This window comes from Homo sapiens, chromosome 17 (genome assembly GCF_000001405.40).
Source record: "Homo sapiens chromosome 17, GRCh38.p14 Primary Assembly".
In the NCBI taxonomy this organism is placed as follows: domain Eukaryota; kingdom Metazoa; phylum Chordata; class Mammalia; order Primates; family Hominidae; genus Homo; species Homo sapiens.
Window position 1 is genome coordinate 83217801 of NC_000017.11, and position 23849 is coordinate 83241649.

General features: G+C 43.5%; 1 long non-coding RNA gene and 1 pseudogene across 2 annotated transcripts; one reads left to right on the forward strand and one right to left on the reverse strand.

The window, feature by feature from the left end:
* Positions 1 to 599: 599 nt before the first annotated feature.
* LOC100505909 (histidine-rich glycoprotein) lies at positions 600 to 10051 on the reverse strand. The gene is made up of 3 exons (XR_933966.3): positions 9849 to 10051; positions 712 to 3608; positions 600 to 607 (listed from the first exon to the last, which is right to left on the reverse strand). It is a non-coding gene; the product is annotated as a histidine-rich glycoprotein (long non-coding RNA).
* Positions 9097 to 23004, forward strand: RPL23AP87 (ribosomal protein L23a pseudogene 87; annotated as a pseudogene). Its single transcript, NR_029406.1, has 4 exons — positions 9097 to 9433; positions 10595 to 10729; positions 11192 to 12094; positions 22124 to 23004. The product of NR_029406.1 is annotated as a ribosomal protein L23a pseudogene 87 (transcript).
* The last annotated feature ends 845 nt before the right edge of the window (positions 23005 to 23849 follow it).

A 23849-nucleotide genomic window follows, 5' to 3' on the forward strand; every position in this document is an offset into this window, starting at 1 on the left:
TCCACACCGTGAGCTGCTGAGATGGCACCCATGTGAGTGTCGCAGTTTCCACACGTGCCTCATTGCTGTGTAAGATGCTCAAGTGAGAGGAAGCTGGTGAACGGGTCTGTGGGAAGTTGCAGTACTGTCTTTGCAACTCTTCTGGACATCTTTTTTTTTTTTTTAAATAAAACATTTTTAACATGAAAATATGCAGAGCACGGTGGCTCGCACCTGTAATCCCAGCACTTTGGGAGGCCGAGGCAGGTGGATCATGAGGTCAGGAGTTCAAGACCAGCCTAGCCAACATGGTGAAACCCCGTCTCTACTAAGAATACAAAAATTAGCTGGGCGTGGTGATGGGCATCTGTAATCCCAGCTACTCGGGAGGCTGAGGCAGGAGAATCACTTGAACCCGGGAGGCAGAGGTTGCAGTGAGCCGAGATCGCGCCCCTGCACTCCAGCCTGGGTGACAGAGCAAGACTCCATCTCAAAAAAAATAAAGGAAATATGCGTCGTTGGATGCTGTATGACAATCAAGCTACTTATAACAAACAAAATTGAGAATGAAGGTAAATTAAAAATAATTTATAGTCTTTAAAAAGCAGGAACTACAAAATTTACATTTCTGAAAATGGCAGAAAAATCCCACATGGCTGTATATGTATGTGTGAGATTGTGTATGAATGAGCGCATGCATATATTTTTGTGTGTTTGGATTATATGTGTGACGGTGTGCATGAGTGTGTATATGATTTGGGGGTATGTGTGAGTGTGTATGACTGTGTGTATGAGTGTGTATGATTTGTGTGTGTGAGTGTGTACATGTATACACTAGTGTGCGTATGATTTGGGGGTATGAATGTGAATGTGTACATATGTATTTATGATCTGAGTGTGTATGAGTGTGAATGTGAACATGTGTGTGTGAGTGGGTATATGATTTGGGTGTGTGCAAGTATGAATATGTATTGTGTGCATTAATGTGTATATTTTGGGCTGTGTATGAGTGAATGTGAACATGTGTGCACGAGTGTATATATGATCTGGGTGTGTATGAGTGAGCATGAGTGAACATGTGTGCATGAATGTGAGTATGATTTGGGTGTGTATGAGTGTGAATGTGTGCACGAGTGTATATATGATCTGGGTGTGTATGAGTGAGCATGAATGTGAACATGTGTGCATGAATATATGATTTGGGTGTGTATGAGTGTGAATGTGTGCACGAGTGTACAATCGGTGTGTATGAGTGAGCATGAATGTGAACATGTGTGCACGAGTGTATATATGATCTGGGTGTGTAGGAGTGAGCATGAATGTGTATGCACAAGTGTGTGTATGTGTGTATGATCTGGGTGTGGAGTGTGAATACGAACACGTATGCGCAAGTATGTATATGATCTGTGTATGTATGAGTGAGTGTGAATGTGTGCATAAGTGTGTGTATGATCTGGGTATGAGTGATTGTGAATGTGAGCATGTGTGCACGAGTGTGTATATGATCTGGGTGTGTGGGAGTGAGCATGAATGTGTATGCACAAGTGTGTGTTTGTGTGTATGATCTGGGTGTGTAGGAGTGTGAATATGAACACGTGTGCACAAATGTGTATATGATCCGAGTATGTAGGAGTGAGTGTGAATGTGAACATGTTTGCACGTGTGTATATGATATGGGTGCATGTGTGGGTGTGTTTGTGCAGGTGCACTGGGAGCTTTCAGCATTGAGTCTGTGTGGCATCCAGGCTTTTCTGGATGATGTAGAATCAAACCCCATAATTAATTCCAGTAACTTAGAAATTTTCACTTATGAATACTAAATTCTCCTCACCTAGCAACTGACTGAGCAGGTTGAACAGCACCCTTCGCCGTTCTCCTGCAGAACCCCGTGGAATGGCCCTGCTTTCTCAGAGTGCTCCTAGCGGTGATGAGGGAGCCCAGCTCATTGCGGTTCGTGCAGAAGGCTGTGTGCCATCTCCGGGACTGCACGGAGAGGCGGAGGCTCAGGCGTGGGATCTGAGCTCAGTGGGCCCTTTAAGGACCGCTGCCTCCTTTCCTCCCTTTGGCATTCAGCATCGACTTACGATGGCTCCCAGTCACAGTCCTTGTCACTGCCTGGCATTACACAGGGCCACAGTCCCTTAACTGAAACACTTGGGACCAGTTGCATTTTGGAATTCGGAATGTTTCTTGATTTCAGAGAGAGAAGAGGGGATGGACTGTTGGGCAGCCCTGATTAACCCTGCAGCGTCTTGGCTCTAGAGGGGCCTACACGGCTGGGAGCGTCTCGGCTCTAGAGAGGGGCCTGCACTGCCGGGAGCATCTCAGCTCTAGAGAGGGGCCTGCACTGCTGGGAAGCCTACACGGCTGGGAGCGTCTCGGCTCTAGAGCCACAGCTGATGCATGGCAACGATGAGCTCTCCTGCTTAGTGCTGATGTGCCTCAGCCCCTAACCCCACTGGTGTCCAGATGAGGAACTTGAGGCTCAGAGAAGCTAGGTCAAGGTGAACACCAGTGTTGAGTTTCAGCCCCAGGTCTACCTGATGCTGACTCCACATTGACTGAGTTGGCCTGGTCCATTGTGAGGTCAGGTAGAGCCAGGGCCGAGGTGGGGATGCCAAGGTCCCATGCCGCAAAGATGGGTGGGACGGCACAGGAGCCGGTCATCATCCCCAAAGACACAGCTCCGAATACCTCATCCTGAAATCCCAAAGATCAAAATCCCAAAAGTATAAATCTGGAAAAAATAATGTCGATGTTATTTATTTACATTTTTAAAAGGTATGTATTTGAGAAACATAAAAACACAACAGAACATTTCATAGGCCACTTTACACAATAAAATAGGCAATGATAACAGGTATTTTTGCATAAACACTGAGGTAACTAACGACGGCGGCATGGGTGTAGCAGTTATAAGAAGACAGACCATAAAGAAATAAGTCAAAAGAGAAACGTGTACACGTATATCGCTACGGTTACTAATTGTGTGCACCTAGCCCTGTAGCTGTGGTCATCTGAAATATCAGGGATTTTAGACTTGAGGGATTTTGATCTTTAGGGATTTCAACATTCCACATTATGGTGCTTGGGATTGTGTCTTTCAGGATTATGATCCAAACTCAGCTGGGCCTCCCCTCCCTGCCCCAGGATTGTGGAGTGAGAACGTTGCAGCAGGAGAGAACAACGCAGCAAAGCACAGCAGGGGAACCGGAAATGCTCACCTTTTGACAGGGTACTTTTAGTTCTGGGGCCTTATCTTAAGGATATTCCAACATATACAAAAAGATTCATGCACAGAGATATTTACTTTAGTATTATTTACCATAGGAAAAAAGTTGGAAACAATACATTTTATGTTCTGTAAAATGAAAGAACAGTTAAATAAATCATGGCTCTAAGACGACTCCAGGGCTGTGTACGGAAGTTCAGGGACAGAATCAGTTGAGGCTGTTCCACCTGAGCCTAAGCTTCCTCTGCTGTATGTCGGGAATCAGGTGGGGGCCAAGCGAGATCACCACAGTGCAGGCCAGTGTGCAGGGCACAGGTGGGCGCCAGGGAGGGGACGCCGCACAGCCCCATGCTCTCGCCAAAAACGTGCAGCACAATTTGGAAGAAAACATTTCCATCTGTTAATAAAGAGCAACGGCCTCTGGTCATAAGAAGTGACACATGACCCTTTGCCTGAGTCTTTTTAAATTTTTCCATATGTTCCATATTTTCTACACCAAATGTAAGCTACTTTCATAATCACAAAAACTTAATGGAAAGAGGAGGAGGAGGACGGGGGTGGGGAGTAGTAGCCATGGGTTCGAGCCCTTCCTCTCCGCATGACTTGGATAACACGGTATATTCACACAGCTATTTCCCCATCTATGAACTTCTGAGGTGCTTTTATTAGTTGATGTCTGGGACCCCTAGGAGCTCTCTTTATACCTCATGATATCAAATGCCCACCTTTCCAGCTCCTCTTGGCCTCCTGCCCTTCCTGGAGGGAGATGCGCTCCCTGGAGCTGCTGACTAGGTGGAAGCAGACTGGCTCCTTCAGTGGGTAGGCCAGCCTGCCTGTCTCCCTAGCCCAGTCCCACCGTGCTGGCCTCAGTGGTGGAGGCAGGCATGGAGCCTTGGAGGAACCACTCCTCCCCAGCCGCCACCAACATTTGTGGCACCGAGAAGCACCCGTGCTATTCCGGACAGGGATGGGGTTGGACACCCATGCATAGGGGACCCTACACTCCTAGGCTTGGCTCTGGGCTAAACAGCAGGTGTGGATTTGGGCCTAGGCCTCGGAGAAGCCATCAGCTAGGGCAGAATTCCCATGTGGGCAGGATGTTATTTAGGAATTCCAGGGCTTTCTGTATTCCAGATTTCCTGTATTGTGCATATGTGCGTGCACGTATGTGCCCTCAGCCATGATGTAAAGTGTTTTTCTGGCTGGGGTTGCATCACAGAGTTTGGAAGCCACTGCTCTGCAGATTCTGAGGACCACCTCCCTTATTTCTCACCAAATTCCCATTTCTTCTGTTTTTGTTCCACCCAATGCAAAAAGCATACTGCCTTCTCTTCTGCATTGGTGGGCAGCGGGTCCTGCAGCTCAGGTTTCTCCAGCCAGGGCCCTGAACGTGAGCCTGGTGGCGTGGGCAGGGGGCTGACTCCATGTGGGCCAAAGGCAACCTATCCAGCTCTTCAGAATGGCTTTTCTCTCCTCCCTATAAAACATATTTTCTCTCCTCCCTATAAAGCCTATTTTTGTATTAGGGTGTTTGTTAAAATGAAAACATGAGATCATTGATGCATAACGAGAAGCCGTGTCATTACTTCCCAGGCCCTGTGCAAGGTGCAAATTGGCGTGTTAGTGGCTGTTTGCATCTTTTCAGTTCCTTTCGTCTTTTCTCCTTATCCTGCCCTTTATATGGTTTCTGCTTTAAGTCAAACATTGTGAGTGGATTGATGGACATATGTGTGTGTGAGCGTGTGTGCACAGATGCATGAGAACTGCAGAGAGAGATGGGAGGTAACCAGGGGGATCACTGTTCTCTTCTTCCCAAACATTAGCGTTAGGCTGTTCCGCTTCTGTTCTTGAGAGGGCACCCACATTACTGCTTGGGAGCCTGGAAATGGCCCCACTGAAGCAGCTCTGAGGCCCTGGACACCCTTTTCCTGGTTGTGGCCAGCTGAGTTGTGCATGGTCCTCCCCGTGGGATGTGCTTGGAGCATCTGCTGGTAGCAGAGCCTCAGTTCCTCTCCTGCGTTCTTTCGCTACAGGTGTTAGACCTGCTGCCCACCTGTGACCTGTTTACTGCCAGGGATAGACCTGTGGCCAGTGTGGAAAGCGAGATGCTTTGTCCATACAGCCTGCGGGGCTCAGCCTTCCTGGGGTTGCCCACAGCTAGGCTGGGCCAGGACCCCCAAGCCTGGGAACTTACACCTTTCTCACCTGCTTTCCTAAAGGTGGTTTTCCTTTGTGATCTCTCTCCCTGAACGGCTAAACCACACTCTGAATAGAAAACTGTCTTGAAAACTGCTTTGCACGTACATCTGATAAGGTCCTCTGGAGGGCGACCTCCACTGTCTAGTGGGCGAGGATTGTTCAGCCGCCTTGGCTGAGTCACCGAGCTGCCAAGGGCAGACTGTACCCTGGGCTCACCAGCATGCAAAGATATTTTATTCATTTATTTATTCCATAAATATATATTTATATTATTTATATTTAGAGCCAGTGTATCTCTCTGTCGCTCAGGCTGGAGTGCAGTGGCACTATCTCACTGCAGCCTCAAGCTCCCGGGCTCAAGGAATCCTCCTACTTTGTCCTCCCAAACAAAAATATTTTTAAGGAGCCCACTAGGAGAGTGCTGAGTTTAAAATCTAAGTTCTTGTTTCTTTTTTCTTTTTCACTGATGCATAATAGATGTACATAGTTTCAGGGTACATGTGATAGTTTAATGCATTCATATAATTGTGAAAATCAAATCAGCCTACTTGGAATATCTATCGCCTTAAATATTTGTTTTTGCTTTATGCTAGAACCGTTCCGATTCTTCTCTTCTAGCCATTTTGAAATATACAGTAGGCAATTGCCAACTATGATCTATGTAACCCTAGGTCTTATTCCTTCTATCAAACCACGTATTTGTACCCTTCAATCAACTTCTCTTTCTCCCCGTCTCCCCGCTACATTTCCCCACCTCTGGTAACCACGCGTCTACCCTCTGTCTTCACGAGAGCTACTTTTTTAGTAGGTGGGAGAGAACATTCAATGTTTGTCTTTCTGTGCTTGGCTTATTTCACTTAACATAATGATCCCTAGTTCCATCTTGTACAAATAACAGGCTGTCGTTCCTCTGTATGGCTGAATAATATTCCACTGTGTATACACACCACGTTCTGTTTATCCATCATCCGCTGATGAACTCAGAGGCTGATTCCGTATTTTGGCGATTGTGAGTAGTCCCGCAGTAAACATGAGAGTGCAGATGTCTTTACGATATATTGATTTTGTTTCTTTTGACTATAGGCCCAGTTAGTGAAATTACTGGATCATACAGCAGTTTTACTTTTAGGTGTTTTTTTTTTTGTTTGTTTGTTTTTTGAGATGGAGTCTTGCTCTGTCACTAGGCTGGTGTGCAGTGGTGTGATCTTGGCTCACTGCAACCTCTGCCTCCCGGGTTCCTGTGTTTAAGCGATTCCCTTGCCTCAGCCTCCCGAGTAGCTGGGATTTATAGGTGCGCACCACCACGCCCAGCTAATTTTTTGTATTTTAGTAGAGACGGGATTTCACCATGTTGGCCAGGATGGTCTCGATCTCCTGACCTTGTGATCCGCCCGCCTCCACCTCCCAAAGTGCTGGGATTACAGGTGTGAGACACCGCGCCCGGCCAACTTTTATTTATTTATTTATTTTTTAAGGAGGAGTCTTGCTCTGTCACCCAGGCTGGAGTGCAATGGTGCGCTCTCCGCTCACCGCAATCTCCACCTCCTGTGTTCCAGTGATTCTCCTGCCTCAGTCTCCCAAGTAGCTGGGATTACAGGGTCGCACCACCACGCCTGGCTAATTTTTTATATTTTTAGTAGAGATGGGGTTTCATCATGTTGGCCAGGCTGGTCTCAAACTCCTGACCTTGTGATCCCCCTGCTTTGGCCTCCCAAAGTGCTGGGACCACAGGCGTGAGCCACCATGCCCGGCCCCTTTTGGTTTTTTGAGGAGCCTCCATCTGTTTTCCATAGTGGTTGTACTAATCAACGTTCCCACAACAGTGTGTGAGGGTCCCCCTTTCTCCACATCCTCGCCAGCATCCCTTATTCCCTGCGTTTTTGACGAAAGCCATTTTAACTGAGGTGAGAGAAGACCTCATTGCAGTTTTTTATTTGCGTTTCTCTGATGATTAGTGATGTTGAGCATTTTTTCATGTACCTGCTGGCCATTTGTACATCTTCTTTTGAGAAATGTCTACTCAGGTCTCTTGCCCATTTTAAAATTCGATTAATTGTTTGCTATTGTTTGAGCTCCTGGTTATGAATCCCTTGTCAGGTGGGTAGCTTGCAAGTATTTTCTCCCATTCTGTGGGTTGTCTCTTCAGTTTGTTGACTTTTTCCTTTGGTCTGCAGAGGGTTCTTAGCTTGGTGTGATTTCACTTGTCTGTTTTTGCTTTGGTTGCCTGTGCTTTTGGGGCCCTACTGAAAAAGTCTTTGCTGAGAACAATGTCCTGGAGCACTTCCCTAATGTTTTCTTCCAGTAGTTTTATACTTTCAGGTCTCAGTTTTACCTTTAATCCATTCTGATTTGATTTCTGTGTATGGTAAGAGAGACGGGTCTAGTTTCATTCTTCTGCATATCTTTATCTAGTTTCCCCTGCACCACTTATGGAAGAGACCGTCCTTTCGCTCGTATGTTGTTGGTGCCTTTGCTGAAGATGAGCTGGCTGTAAATGTGTGGATTTATATCTGGGTTCTCTATTCTGTTCCACTGGTCTATGTGTCTGTTTTACGTGATTACCAGGCTGATTACCAGGCTGATAGGTTGGCTCATGCCTGTAATCCCAGTACCTTTGGAGGCCCAGGTGGGAGGATCACTTGAAGCCAGGACTTCAAAACCAGCCTGGGCAACAAAGCAGGACCCCATCTCTACAATGTTTTAAAAAATTATTTGGTGCAGTGGCATACACCTGTAGTCCCAACTACGCAGGAGGCTGAGGTGGGAGGATCCTTTGAGCCTAGGAGTTTGAGGCTGCTCTGAGCTGTGATTGTGCTACTGCACTCCAGCCTGGTTGACAGAGCAAGGCCCTGTCTCTTAAAAAAAAAAAAAACTATTGCAAGAGGAGAGAGAGAGACTGAATTCAACTCTCAATACAACAGAGACAAGTGGGGATAGCCAATGAGCAGGGTGAGGGAGGTGATGAAAAGTTGTTGAAAGGAGCTTGGTTAGTTAGCAAGGGTGGGGAAGATTCTCACTAAGGACCTTAGCAGCATTCCTTGCTAGCACTGAGCTCAGCAGGCCAAGGATGAGGCTTCATCAAGGAGAAGGCTCAAAGGAGCCTGAGTGGAGTTTGGTCAAGGAGAGCGTCTTTGTCATCCTTGCAATGACTCATTTTATAGGTAATTAAGTAGGGGGTTCAGACAGGTCAAAGACTTACCAAAAAGAGGAAATTGTGTCCATGTGGCTGGTGGCTCACCCCAGGAACTGACAGTGGCTTACTCTCAGAAACTCAGAGTGTGCGTGTCTCTTTGAATCCGTATCTGTGTGTGGGTGGGTGCGTCTGTCTGTGTGCGTGCCTCAGTCTCTTCTGAATTTCTCTCCCAATCCCCGTCTCTCTTTCCTCGGGTTGGTGTTTCCCTCCTGCTGGCCTCTGGCCAGCTATTTCTGGAAGTGTCAGCTGCTCTGTCTTCCTGCCCCTGTCTCCACCATCACGTCTGTGTCTGACTCCCTTTCTTTCCCATACAAAACCCCTAATGCAAGTCCTACTGTTTCTGTAACTGGCCACTGCCTATAACAAATCTTTGCTTAGGTTGTGTTTCTTTGTAGAATAGACTGATGTACTGTGTGCTTGATTTTTACAAGATGAGCACAATACCTTATCTTTCTTCTTTATTAAAAAAAAGGAAAAATCCAAACACAAGATTAATATCTCGTCATGGACTGTGCCCCGCTCGAGCCTCTCCACATGCAGCCGGAAGGAAAGTGGAGGGAGCTGCTCCTTTCCGTAGCCGGGGTGCCCACCCCAACCAGGCTGCCTCTGCCACCCAAGACAGAGGTTCTCTGATAATAATTTGTGGGGCTTGTTTCCAGAGACCACACCTGAAGCTGCCAACTCCCCGGAGGGAAGGTCCTGATTAATGGCCGATGAATTTCTCCTTAAGGCCCTGAAACTGCCTACTCAGAACCAAGCCAGTTTTTCCTGCCTGTCCTGTTTGGGCAGGCAGAGGAGGCAGCTAGAAACCCATTATGCAGGGGATGGGGGTAAGTGGAGGAGGGAGGGGTCGGGGGAGGAGTGGGGAGGAGGAGGAGGGAAACAGGAAACCCCAGGCTTTGGCTATGATGGGGTCAGCCTTTCTACACCATTCCGGGATGCTGGTGTCCACCACTGCTGCCTGGGCACGGGGAACAGAGAATCTGCCTGGTGGGAGCAGACAAGAGGTTCGAGGACCAGAGCTCATCCTCTTCGGTGTGTGCCTGGGAGGAGGTGTAGGTGCAGCCAGTGGGGTATGATTAAAAAGAAGGGACGCGAGTTTAGGGGACAGCCGCCCACGTGCACCAGCTCTCCGTGTGCCAAAATCTTGCCTGTCAGGGACCAGGATCCCACTTCACAGTTAGCAAATAGCAGCTCAGGGACATTAAGCAACTCGCCCAGCATCCCACCAGCAGACAGTCTCACCTTCAGGGTCGTCTGTGTCTGTTAAAGTCGAGTCTAGTTTCGGGTCTCAGAGCACCTCCCTAAAGCTGCCGTAAACCAAGAATAAAATTCTAAGCCCCACAGCCGATCGCGTGGACCCCGCCTCTGGGCCAAAGGGATTCCAGAGAAACCTGAAGAACTAGTTCAGGCCGTGATGAGGAGGAGTGGGGGCTGGACAGGCCTCATTGTACCCTCCTCCCTTTGGAATTTGGGCAGAACTGACCAGAACCAACATTAAAACAGAGATCTGAAGACTGACAAGGCTCTCTAGCAATAAGATACCAAATTCCAACCTGACTCCAGTGCAGCATCACATGACAGACAGAGGCCATGAAATCAATATTTTACCTCAAAATATATTTCTTTGACATACTTTGAAATGGCCCTGCCAAGCTGTCTCTTGTGGGGGACATTTACATTCTGTAGAGAATCCCTTCCCTTTCCAGGTCTTTCTCTGATCCTGAAGACATTGGCTGAGAGCCTAGCACCTTCTATGGGTCTGAACAGGAAACATTTGCCATCTATTGTCTCTAAGGGTGGCCACCTATGAAACTTCATCTACATAATAAGAACCTTGGTCTGCACAGTCTCTTATCTTAACCCAGACTCTCCTTTCTATTGATAGCAGGTCTGTAGATAATAATTCTTTCAACCAATTGAGAATCAGAAAATCTTTGAATCTATCTATGACCTGTAAACCCCATTACTTTGAATTTTCCTCCTTCCAGACCAAACCAATGCACAACTCCTACGTACTGATGGTGGTCTTACGTTTCCCTAAGTTTCTGCCGACTAAACTGTGCACACGTTCTCAGGACCTCCTGAAGCTGCGTCACAGGCGCTGATCAAAGAACACAACCAAGGTGAGTGTCAATCATTTCAAGAAATCTGTTTGCAAGGTTAAGGACACACCTGAGAAAAGAACAGAGAACCACAGGAAAAACTGTGGTCCGTGCTTTTCCCAAAGGTTGTCTGGGGACCTCAGTAAGTAAAGGGGAGAAGTGTGGGTGTTGGGGAAAGGGGAAGAAGTGGAAAAAATGGGTGTGGGTAAATCAGAGGCAAATGGTTGCATTCTTCTGTCTTTGGTCAGCGTTCACTGAATACACATTTTACATGTGATGGAGGTAGAGGCAGGGATGTAGCTTTTTTATCTTTGTGTAATAGCTATCTTATTTAGGAACCAGATGGGAAGCAGGTTTGCATAAGCCAGTTCCCAGCTTGGCTTTTCCCTTTGGCTTAGTGAGTCTGGGGTCCCAGGATTTATTTTCCGTTCTCACAGGTTGTAGTCCTCACATTTGGCTCAAAATATTCAAAATTTTTTCCAGAGTTTGGCCTTTTCTTCAGCACTGGGAATTGTGATCCAAAGCTTTTCCTGATGAGGTACAAAGTTGGAGAAACAAAACGCAAACTAAGCAACAATGAAACAGAACAGAGTGAATCTGCTGTAGCTCAAGAGAGGACGTAGCTGCCCCCACCCCGCATCCCTGGGCTCGGGTTTGCCTTGCTGACCTCTGCTGCCACCTGGTGCCGCACAGAGAAACTGAGGAGAAACCACATCAGTCTCCTTCAGCCTCAGCTTCACATCTGTGGGTCAAGCAACCCTTTCAGAAGCTGTATAATGTGGGAAAGCTTTCCTCTCAGGAAAATGCACACATCCAACTTTGAGAAGATGCCCTTGGGGGTGCTTCAAGGATCCTAGATAATAACCCCCTTTCCCGAACATCCAAGAACCTAAGTTTTTTTTTTTTTTTTTGAGAAAGTCTCGCTCTCTCTCCCATTCTGGAGTGCAGTGGCGTGATCTTGGCTCACTGCAAGCTCCACCTCCCAGGTTCAAGCCATTCTCCTGCCTCAGCCTCCCAAGTAGCTGGGGCTACAGGCACCTGCCACCACACCCGGCTAATTTTTTTGTATTTTTAGTAGAGACGGGGTTTCACCGTGTTAGCCAGAATCGTCTTGATCTCCTGACCTTGTGATCCACCCGCCTCGGCCTCCCAAAGTGCTGGGATTACAGGTGTGAGCCACCACACCTGGTCCAAGAACCCAACTTTTAGATCTAGAGTGATGTCAGCATGACATTGATTTCCTGAGGCCCAGGGGTGAAGGAGCTGAGGACAGCAGAGGGGTGAAGGAAGTCAGCTACAGACAGCAGCAGCTGATGCACAGGCCTCCCAGCGCCTGAAGTCACCCGGAATTGGGAAGTGCTCAGAAGCTTACAAAGCTGCCTCGAGGTGGGAACACAACATTAATCCAAGAGCAGATCCCTGATCCTATAAAAATGTACTAGATGCAGTGGGGGCATTTTAAATGAGCAGGGAAGGACAGACAGATAAACAGAAGGACAAACAGTATTGGGATTGGGATAAATGCTCAGCTTTTGCCCAAATCTTAGTGACTTAAGCATCACTTATTTGCTCACGATTCTGTGGCTGGACCATTTGGTTTGGCTCACAGGGCAGGGACTGTGCTGGTCTTACCTGAGCAGACCTGCATGTCTGCGGTCAACTGGGTTGGCAGAGACAGAGTGACTGTCTTCCTCCAGGAAGCAGCAGGTTAACTGGTTGGCAGAGACAGAGGGACTGAGGGACTGTCTCCCTCCAGGAAGCAGCAGGTTAACTGGTTGGCAGAGACAGAGGGACAGAGGGACTGTCTTCCTCCAGGAAGCAGCAGGTTGGCTCTGGTTCCTTCGTGGGGCAGCTGGTCTCCAGGGCAGCAAGAGAGACCAAGCCCCCGTGCACATTCTACAGCCTCTGTGCACATCAGACTTGTTAATATCCCATTGGCCAGTGCAAGTCACACGGCCAAGCCCAGATTAAGGAGTGGAAAGATGGACGCTATCTCCTCCTGGGAGAGGAGGCAAAGGAGGTGAGAGCATTATGTGGCCACTTATGTTTGCAATCTACCATACTTAGCCCTTTGAGAAAAGAATTAACTGAGAAACTTGCTTCAAATAGGGCATTCAGTAAAATGAAGCCCCAATTGAAGTAAAATGCATATATAAAAAATGAAACTGTGACCGATTTTAAGGACAGTATTGGCAAATATTTCTGTGCTCTTGGAGGAGAAGACCCTTATTGGCATGACGTGTCAGAAACCACAATGAAAGAATTATTTTAACTTGCATTCATAAAAATTAAAATTATTCATTAAAAACATCGTGAATGAAATTAAAAGTCAAAATGTAAGCCAGAAAATTATTTACAACATATGTGTCAGGAAAAGACAATACCCTTCAGACTTTGAGAGTTTACATCAGAAAGAAAATAGCAAATGACATGATCCAAACTTGATAAAGGACATGAAAAAGAGCCAGCACTTAGTATGTTTTCTGAATGAATAAGTAGCCAACAGCACATGAAAATGTGTGTAATCCACTTGTAAGCAGAGAAATGCAAATTAAAACAGTAAAGTGTCATTTTCACTTCCTGGATTGGCAAAGGGTTTTATGTATTTTACTGACAGTGCTCAACATTAGCAGTAAACAACAAATGGTGAGTAAATATGAGCTTCGGAACCTCAGGGAAATGATCTCCTTATTTCAACCTGTAGATTCCTTCCTACAACCAGTGTAGAGCAGAGTACCAGGACGGGCCATTGAGCACCCTGGTGTTGAGAGCAAGTGGCCTCTAGTCAGAGTTGGGTCAGGGCCACTGTGAGTGGGCTGCCCCCAACATGAGTCAGCTGTCTAGGACTAGTTTATCTCTGCTTCTCACTTTACTGGTATTATGGGGCAGCTCCTGCTGTCTTCCAATTTGGTGTCTTCCAAATCGGCACCGTCTTTTAAAGTTGAGTTTCTTGTTATTCTCACCTGATATACCTTATTTATCCCACACCCACCCCAATAACATATCGTGCTCAGTGTTATCTTTGAGACAACACTTGAATTTTACTCAGCCTGGCGTGCTCTTCACATGTCTTGTCTAGATCCAGTTCGGACTCATTCTTCAGCCGTGCATCAGTAAATGGGGGCTAGGTTAAACTGTGGTGACAAACAACCTCCAAATTTCAGTGGCTCAAAAATCTTCTTCCTCATTTATTTACATTTCATCATGGGTCAGGTGAGAGGTAGCTCTGTGCCGTGTCATCCTAACACAGGAATCCAGACAGAAGGAGGGACAATCAGTAAGATCCCCATTGCTATAGAAAAGAGAAAAAAGTATGCGGAATAGAACTCTGTTTCTTGGAGATTTCTCCTGAAAAAGTCACATGTTATTTCTTCTCACCTCCATTGGCAAAAAAAAAGTCATGTGGCCATGTGAAAATGTAAGTAGGCGGGATGGAACAGTCAGAATGCATTCATAAAATATGAACTGAAAATATCTGGAGAACAGCACCTATGACTACCACGAATGCCAACATGCATCCCTAACAACCCAGTGCTGTCACCCTCCAAACTTTTTATGTCTTGCAAAGTATTAGAACTTCTTATCTGAAGCCATACCACTCAGAGGGAATGCAAAATACATATTGACATCTCCTTTAGGATGTCCTTAGAGAATTCAAGGAAAAGAAGTTAAATAATTTAAAAGTGCTTTTGGGTACAGCTATTTAGCACTAGAGGGTAAGATTAGACATAGATTGTAAAGATAATAATAGGGTTAGGGATAGGATTAGGATCTGGGTCAGAGTCAGGGCCAGAAGTATGGTTAGAGGTGGGGTCATGGTCAGGGTCGAGATCAAAGTCAGGGTCAGAATTAGGGACCAGGATAGGGATCAGGATTTAGGTTCAGTGTCAAAGTCTTGGGACAAGGTTAGGGTTAGAATTAGAACCAGAGCTTTGTTCTCCTCAGGACCCACCCGAGGGTGGGTCACCATGGCTTTGGAGCCCCTGGTAGTGTGGCGTGTCCACAGTGAAGACCAGAGTTTCATTGTCCTTAAGACTGACCTGGGGAGACGTGGCTGCAGGCCATTGAGGAAGGTGAGGAAAAACTTCCTGTCTGCTCCCCGTGTGCTGAGGAGGGAGCTCTGCCGTGGGCTTTACTTTCACATGTTATATTCCACAAGTCTTGTTTTACAAAAGCATCCCTTCCTTGAGGCTTCGGCTGCTCATCGCTGCTCATCATCATAGCGTGCCATAACATATAGTAAGATTTGGGTTTGTTTCTGGGGAGAGATCTTGGTATAGAGAAAGGAGAAATGCTTAGAGCCACCATCAGGACAGTTGGGATGAAAGTTGGGTATAGGCAGAGGCTGGAGGAAACATGTGCATCCCCTGTAAACACTTTTATTCATGTTTTAATTACTCATTTTTCTTACAGTGTTAAATTAGTAAAGATAGTATTGAAAAATTGAAAAGTAGGCATATTAAAACCTGCAACACTATTTAAGCTTAGATATATTATTTGTACCTCATCAACATTTTTTATTTTGTTGAGAAAGTTTAAGGTTAATTGACAGCATATTTCTAATAGTAGATAGAATAACATCCCTTTTATAAACATTGACATCCTACATTACATGTGTGAACCCTGAAAATCTGAGACAGCTCTCAGATTTTTTAGAAAGTTTATTTTGCCAATCTTGAGGATGTGCACCTGTGATGCCTCCTCAGGAGATCCTGACAACATGGGCCCAAGGTGGTCGGGGCACAGCTTGGTTTTATACACTTTAGGGAGACACGAGAGATCAATCAATATGTGTAAGATGTACATTGGTTCAGTCCAGAAAGGTGAGAAGGCCAGACAGGGGGCTTCCAGGTCACAGGTAGGTAAGAGACAAATGGTTTCATTCTTTTGCATTGCTGATTACCCTCTCCACGTGAGGCAATCAGGTATGCATTTATCTCGGTGATCAGACGGGTGTCTTTGGATAGAATGGGAGGCGGGTTTGCCCTAGGCAGTTCCCAGCTTGACTTTTCCCTTTAGCTTAGTGATTTTGGGTCCCCAAGATTTATTTTCCCTTCGTAAGTGTTCCTATGAGTATTAATTATTCATTGTGTCTTTTATTACACAAATAAGGCACAGATTTTTAAGAAATCATCAACTTCATGGCTACCTATATAGACATAATTACATAGAAGCTCAACTAAATTTGCAAACATTCCAGAGTTTGGGTTTCCAATAATTCTTTGTGATTCTTTAAAAGGTAAAGTATTTTTTCCCATAAAACATAGCAACATTTAAAATCAACCGTAGAATGTCCTGCCATTTTTGTTTCTCTAGTTTCCTCATTTTCTGCAAAGCCTCACTGAGGAAATTGACTTTGAATATCCTTTTAGACTCTTGTTTTAGAAAGCATTGTGGTAAAACATTGAATCATCGTGGTCACAAGTTCTGTTCACATTCTTTCTTTCTTTGAATATTTTTTCCCAGTGGCCAATATTTGATTCTGTTGTATCATGGCTAAAAGGTAGGCATGGCAACAAAATAAAGACAAGAAGTCTTTGGAATAATTGATCCCATCACAATGAATCAATTTGCCATTGGAACATGTTTTTACAAAGTCACTCTTTTGAAAATATTCAGCTATGACTTGAAACAGAGTCTGTATGGTTAATATTTTTCCTGGTCTAAGATGAACAGCATTTTAGAGAATGAACCCAGGACACAACCACAGCACAAGAAAAACATGTGATAATTAAGTTTACACATGTGTGTTACTACAGTAACAGAAAACATGTAAAGAACATTTGATTTATGTATCAGTCTGCACTGTTTAATTTTTTGTGTCATAATTGCTCTTATTTTAAAAAACAGGACTAGTTAACAGTGTCAATTACTAGTAATTCATGGTATAAATAATTAAACAAGGAAGTGTTAAAAAAAGTGTTTTAAATAAAGTTTTATTTTACGTCTTTTTTTTACTTACACAGAAATCGTCAAAAAAAAAAAAAGCAGAGATTTCCCATGTAGCCGCAACCTAGTTTCCTCTCTTATTAACATCTTCTATCAGTGTGTCTCACATGGCTTATTAATATCTTACATAATTTGCCGCAGTTAATGAACCAATACTGATAGACTGTTATTAACTAAAGTTCATATTTCATTTGGATTCCCTTAGTTCTATCTTACTCTGACCCAGGATCCCATCCAGGATCCCACACGACATGTAGTCATCACATAGGCTCTTCCTGGCTGTGACAGTGTGTTAGGCTTTCCATCTCATGATGACCTTCATAGCACTGAGGAGGACTGGTCAGGAATGTTGTAGAATGTCCCCCATTGTCACTTCATGTTCTCAAGGTGAACTGTCACCTTTGATGTTCACTTGGATCATTTGGCAGAGCTAATGTTTGTCAGGTTTCTCCACTGTGAGGTTATTTCTCCTCCTTGTCCGCACTGCATGTGTTCTTTTGGAGCAAGTCACTATGCAGAGCCTCACTCCGTCAGGAGTTGGCTCCACCTTCTTGACGGCTGAGTGTCTACATCAATTATTTGGAATTCTTTTGCAAAGGAGATTTCTATGCAACTCCATTTGCTTATTCACCTAGGTATACAAATACAGACACCTAGATAATTACCTTAAGCTTTAGTTATTATTCAACACTACAGTATTATGTTGCACAATTCATTCCTGTGTTGGCCATCAGTAGCTGTTTTTATTGGCTCTTATTTTTCTTTGATATGTTTTAATTTTTTTGTACTTACTTTCTGATACTTCCAGATTATCCTGGCTCCTATATTTACTGTCCCAGTTCTAGTATCAGACATTTCTTCAAAGAGCCTGATTCCTTTCAGAATGGTAGGAAAACTTACATCTGGCTGCTGAATGAGCACATTGTATCTTCTCCCTCATTGGCAATGCTAGGAAGTATATGTGTGTGTCTAACCTACCTATACACACCTAATTATAAAGTTTTCTATGTAGAACTGTGTGTGTCTATATTAAACTAAACATAAGTTTACATTGATGTCTCCACCTCTGATCTACTATCACATGAATCATTCTAGCCTTCTCGCCTTGCTAATTTGTAACCTCCCACTTCAACAGTAAGAAACCTGGTTCCCACCATCTGCGACTTATGTAAGTCATTGTTTTATTCCAGATACAGACACTGTGGTTTTACAATTGTTCACAATTGCTTCTGTTGGAAAGAACTTTATAAAATGGAATCCAATAATGAAGTATAGTTCATGTGCCTTCAGCCTACAGATTCTTTTCATTTTCAAAGTTTTTACCTAGATTTGTGTCTCAGTCCATTTTGTGCTTCTGTAACAGAATACCTGAGGCTGCGTAATTTATAAGTAAAAAAGTTTCATTTGTTTGACAATACTGGTGGCTGGAATGTGTGAGATTGGGCAGTTGCATCTGGCGGGGCCTCAGTCTTTTTCACCTCATGGTGGAAAGTGGAAGGGGAGCAAGGGGTGCACCAGAGATCACACAGCAGAAGTGAAAGCAAGAGGGAAGCCAAGGAAGCCAGACTCTTTTTAATTACCTACTCCTGCAGGAATTATCTATTCCTGTGAGAACAGAACTCACTCACCCCCATGGAGGACATTAATCTATTCATGAGGGATCCGTCCCCACGACCCAAACACCATCCACTAGGCCCCACCGCCCCACACTGACGCAGTGGGAGTCAAATTTCAACATGAGTTTTTGTGGGGACAAACCACATCCAAACCATAGTAATTTGTAGCATAAATTCTTTTTCACATGATGTATTCTGTCCTGGGATACTCCACATCCTGAGTAATTGGATTTAATTTGAATAGAGTTTGCTTTAACCATTTGGCTGTAAAATTCTGCGTATTTCGACAAATGCATTGTGGCAGATATCCCACTATTAAAGTATCATATGGAATGCCTCAAACCCCCACCCCATGGAGCCAATGGCTTCCCATCTGTGTAGTTTGCCTTCTCCAGTGTCTCATTAAATGAGGTCACACTGTGTGTATCCTCCTCAGACTGTCTTCTTCCACTTAGCAATGTGCATGCAAGATTCACTCATGTCTTTGTGTGTGTTGATATCTTGTTCCTTTCTATGGCTAAATAGTATTCCATTACATGAATGTAGCACAATTTGGTTATGCATTTTGGGGAGCAGAACCTTCCTCTTCTAACTTTGTTCCAGGGTTGGAGACCTTCAAATTAACTGACACTAGATACATTAGTAGGAGAGACAATACTTGGCTTCTTGTTCCCCAAGTATCATTGTGGGACAAAATTCATCAGATGGCAGGATCCAGTTTACAAAGAGGTAAAAATAGCCCAGAAACAAGAAACAAGACTAGAATCTGATAACTCACAATGGCTATAGTTTTCCTTTAAAAAATTTTTTTTTGAGACAGGGTCTGGCTCTGTCACCCAGGCTGGAGTGCAAAGGTGCAATCTCAGCTCACTGCAACCTCTACCTCCTGGGTGCAAACGATCCTCCCTCCTCAGCCTCCTGATTACCTGGGACACAGGCACATGCCGTCATGCCCATCTAATTTTTGTATTTTTGGTAGAGACGGGGTTTCACCATGTCGCCCAGGCTGATGTTGAACTCCTGGCCTTCCAAAGGGCTGTAATTATAGGCATGTGCCACCATGCCCGGCTGTGTTATACTTTTCCTTTGAAAGATAAAATTTCTCTCTGTAGTAACCATCATTTTTGATCATAATCAAAGTAAGACTATTCTTGTTTTAAAAATAAGTCTAGTTTTGTTAGATTTTGCTTGATTATTTACGTAAGTGCAGCAAGAACAGGAGATGACCACGTAGGTGCTTTCAGGTTTCTTTGCTGGAAGTTTTCATACAGAATCTCAGATTTGACTTTTAAAGGCCTTATTCAGGCTAAAAGCCAAGCCAAGAACATGCTATCAAATTTCAGCTGCAGTCCTTATAGCTTTGTGTGAATTCCTCTCTTCTTGAGGCCCCAAAATATCCCTAAATTCCTGGGCCTACCAGGAAATGACCTTCCTTACTAACCTATAAGGCTGTGAACCCTGTAATCTAGGTATCAGGCTGGGTTTTCTCAGAGTGCTGTTGGGAATGAAGTTTTTTATGTTCCCCCCCCCAAAAAAAGAACTAACATGGGAACAAATGATCTCTTAGCAAGGCGAGCTTTATTTTTCTGCACAAAGGGTGCTACTCAATAGCTGTCCAGCTACAAGAGCACACCAAACAAAGGAGACAGAGTTACTTATAACCTGACGTGTCTACCCTACTGCTGTGTCCAGTTTCCATTGGCTGGAATAGGACCTCCCATTTTACACTTTACCCGATTGGCTGTTTGTTTAAAACTTTCTTAATTAGGTAAGGGGAATAGAAGAAAGAAAGAAAAGGAAGTTGCCCAGGGATAGTTAAGGAAGCATCTCCAAATAAGGAATGGCATGCAGTATGGGCTGGGGCTTGTCTAGTTCTGTCCAGGCATGCTGGAGCAAGCTAGGACAAGTGATTTGGAACACACACACACACACACACACACACACACACACACACACATATAAAAATAGTGGGTAGTTGTGACTTTATAATCTTTGAGGAAGAACTTTCCTCAAAGTTTTCCACAGTGCTTTGTAAGCATTGTCTCCATAAAAGTGAACCTTACTTCCTTAAAATTGCTGGTCATAACTGATCTTAGGTACACTTCCTAATTATGATGTTCCAGTAAAAACCTTGATAATATAACCAAAATTTCCAATTATGTCCTGTTATAAGGTGAATAGATTCTTATTGGACTTTTGCTAACAACTATATCATCGTGGAAATAAGAGTATTCAGTAAGGATTTCAAAATTCTGGAAAAATCAGGCAAGAAAAAAAGATAAACGCTTCATTTCTGTTTACAAAAGTATAATCTACTAAATTGTTGTAAGTTACAGTTAGAGTAAGAGAAAGAGATTTCTTAAATCCAGAAACTAGAATATTAACCAGCAATGCTCCAAAAAGCTATACAATTATAATCAATTTTCATCAGTTCATTCAGTGCCATGTAATCAATTCCAGTCTTGTGGATCTTGAGTTAGCAGTGTCATGAACCCATCAGTTTCCCAACCGGACTTCTGGAGACCTTAACTGAGTCAAGTGTATGGTCTTAAAGTTATTTAAGCAATATCATCAGAAGCCTATAACCAGAGTACCTGTCATAGTCTTTTCTGTGAGTCTCAGAGGGAGTCCTGTCTTGGAGACGAACATTCTGACCTGTAGTTGATTGCAGGAGCTTTCAGGAAAGCATCAGGGGGAAATAATATCTAAATGACAAAAAGTATGAAATGGCTGTGATGAAAGATCTGATGAGAGTTCATTATACCACAACTGACAAGGATATTCGATTTTTTCTGTGGCAGACAACATTTATTTATTTCTTTATTTAGAGACAGAGTCTTGCTCTGTCGCCCAGGCTGGAGTGCAGCGGTGCGATCTGGGCTCACTGCAAGCTCTGTCTCTTGGGTTCACGCCATTCTCCTGCCTCAGCCTCCTGAGTAGCTGGGACTACAGGTGCCTGCCATCACGCCGGGCTAATTTTTTATATTTTTAATAGAGATGGAGATTCACCGGGTTAGCCAGGATGGTCTGGATCTCCTGACCTTGTGATCCACCCGCCTCAGCCTCCTAAAGTGCTGGGATTATAGGCATGAGCCACTGTGCCTGGCACAACATTTAAAGTAATAATTGGAATTATGACTCATTACTCTATAGTGGCACATAGCATGGATAAGGAGGACATTGACAAACTTCCAGGAATTTTATATAATTTCTGAAAACATAACATTTTACCCATACAAATATAACACAGGGAAGGTTAGGTATCTCTTTTTATTTGTATCTTCTGTATGGTTTTCCTTATAAAAAATGCAACCTACTTTACTTGCGAAACATGCCCTACTTTTCTTGCATGCTTTGCATAGTTTCTAGTTATTCTATTATTTCTAGTAGTTTTATTTACATATATTGATTATAATTTTAATACTTAGTAATCTTTTATTTTCCAGAGAAAACTAGGAAGTAGACAGTTATAAACTGTCATATATTAGCATTCTATAGTAGGTTAGAAAATGTATGAATATACCATCTCCCAACATCTAGAGGGATGTGTTTCCTCATAATACAATTCCTCAGTGTGGCAGAAAAAAACATGTTTATTAACGGGCCAAAATATCTTTAGTCTCTCTGTAAAAATAGGAAGCCAAAAGTACATAAACTTGAATTATTTATGTTCAGTAATTAATGTTTTAGTATTGTATCTTATTTATAAATGATCTAGATATTTAATGCAAATCTTTTACTTAGCTTAACTTTAAGGTTAAAAATTACCAAAAGTACTTTGGAAACTATTCTTAGGCAGATTTACTGTAAACAAATTATTTTTGAAATAATGTTTTTCGCTTTTCACAAGATGGCACCAAAAGCGAAGGAAGCTCCTGCTCCTCCTAAAGCCGAAGCCAAAGCGAAGGCTTTAAAGGCCAAGAAGGCAGTGTTGAAAGGTGTCCGCAGCCACACGCAAAAAAGAAGATCCGCATGTCACTCACCTTCAGGCGGCCCAAGACACTGCGACTCCGGAGGCAGCCCAGATATCCTCGGAAGAGTACCCCCACGAGAAACAAGCTTGGCCACTATGCTATCATCAAGTTTCCGCTGGCCACTGAGTCGGCCGTGAAGAAGATAGAAGAAAACAACACGCTTGTGTTCACTGTGGATGTTAAAGCCAACAAGCACCAGATCAGACAGGCTGTGAAGAAGGTCTATGACAGTGATGTGGCCAAGGTCACCACCCTGATTTGTCCTGATAAAGAGAAGAAGGCATATGTTCGACTTGCTCCTGATTATGATGCTTTCGATGTTGTAACAAAATTGGGATCACCTAAACTGAGTCCAGCTGGCTAACTCTAAATATATGTGTATCTTTTCAGCATAAAAAAATAATGTTTTTCATAAGAATGACAACTTAATTAGAATCAAATCTATAAGCTTTAAGATTTTATGTTTCTAGTAAGTATAATATTAGCTTATTTGACTAGAACTCAAGCAGAATAGGAATTTATGCTTGTTTTATATTCAATAATAATTTTGAAGATACAGTTGTTTTATTACACCAAAAATACTATATTAATCTTATTTAACTAAGTTTTATCCAAATCATGTTAACTTAAGAAACATTTGATCAGTTCCTATATTTCTAGGAGTTTGGTGAATATTTATTTATAAATGCTTATTTTTTTCCAAGCCAAGTTAGAATAGAGCACTTTTAGAGGATTTCATAAATGAATTTTGCAATGCTCTCTGGAGTTAAGAAAATATCACATATACATAACATACATTAATAGATACACAAACACAAATAGAGATTTCATAGCTTTCATCCTGAAATTTCAGCCATGAATCAGGCATAAATATTCTGATGGTTAATTTCAGACATCTACTTGATCGGATTGAGAGACACACATAGCTGGTCAAACACGATTTCAGCCATGAATCAGGCATAAATATTCTGATGGTTAATTTTAGACATCTACTTGAGTGGATTAAGAGACACACATAGCTGGTCAAACACAATTTCAGCCATGAATCAGGCATAAATATTCTGACGGTTAATTTTAGACATCTACTTGATCGGATTGAGAGACACACATAGCTGGTCAAACACGATTTCAGCCATGAATCAGGCATAAATATTCTGATGGTTAATTTTAGACATCTACTTGAGTGGATTGAGAGACACACATAGCTGTTCAAACACGATTTCAGCCATGAATCAGGCATAAATATTCTGTGGTTAATTTTAGACATCTACTTGAGTGGATTGAGAGACACACATAGCTGGTCAAACAATTTCAGCCATGAATCAGGCATAAATATTCTGACGGTTAATTTTAGACATCTACTTGAGTGGATTGAGAGACACACATAGCTGGTCAAACACGATTTCAGCCATGAATCAGGCATAAATATTCTGTGGTTAATTTTAGACATCTACTTGAGTGGATTGAGAGACACACATAGCTGGTCAAACAATTTCAGCCATGAATCAGGCATAAATATTCTGACGGTTAATTTTAGACATCTACTTGAGTGGATTGAGAGACACACATAGCTGGTCAAACACGATTTCAGCCATGAATCAG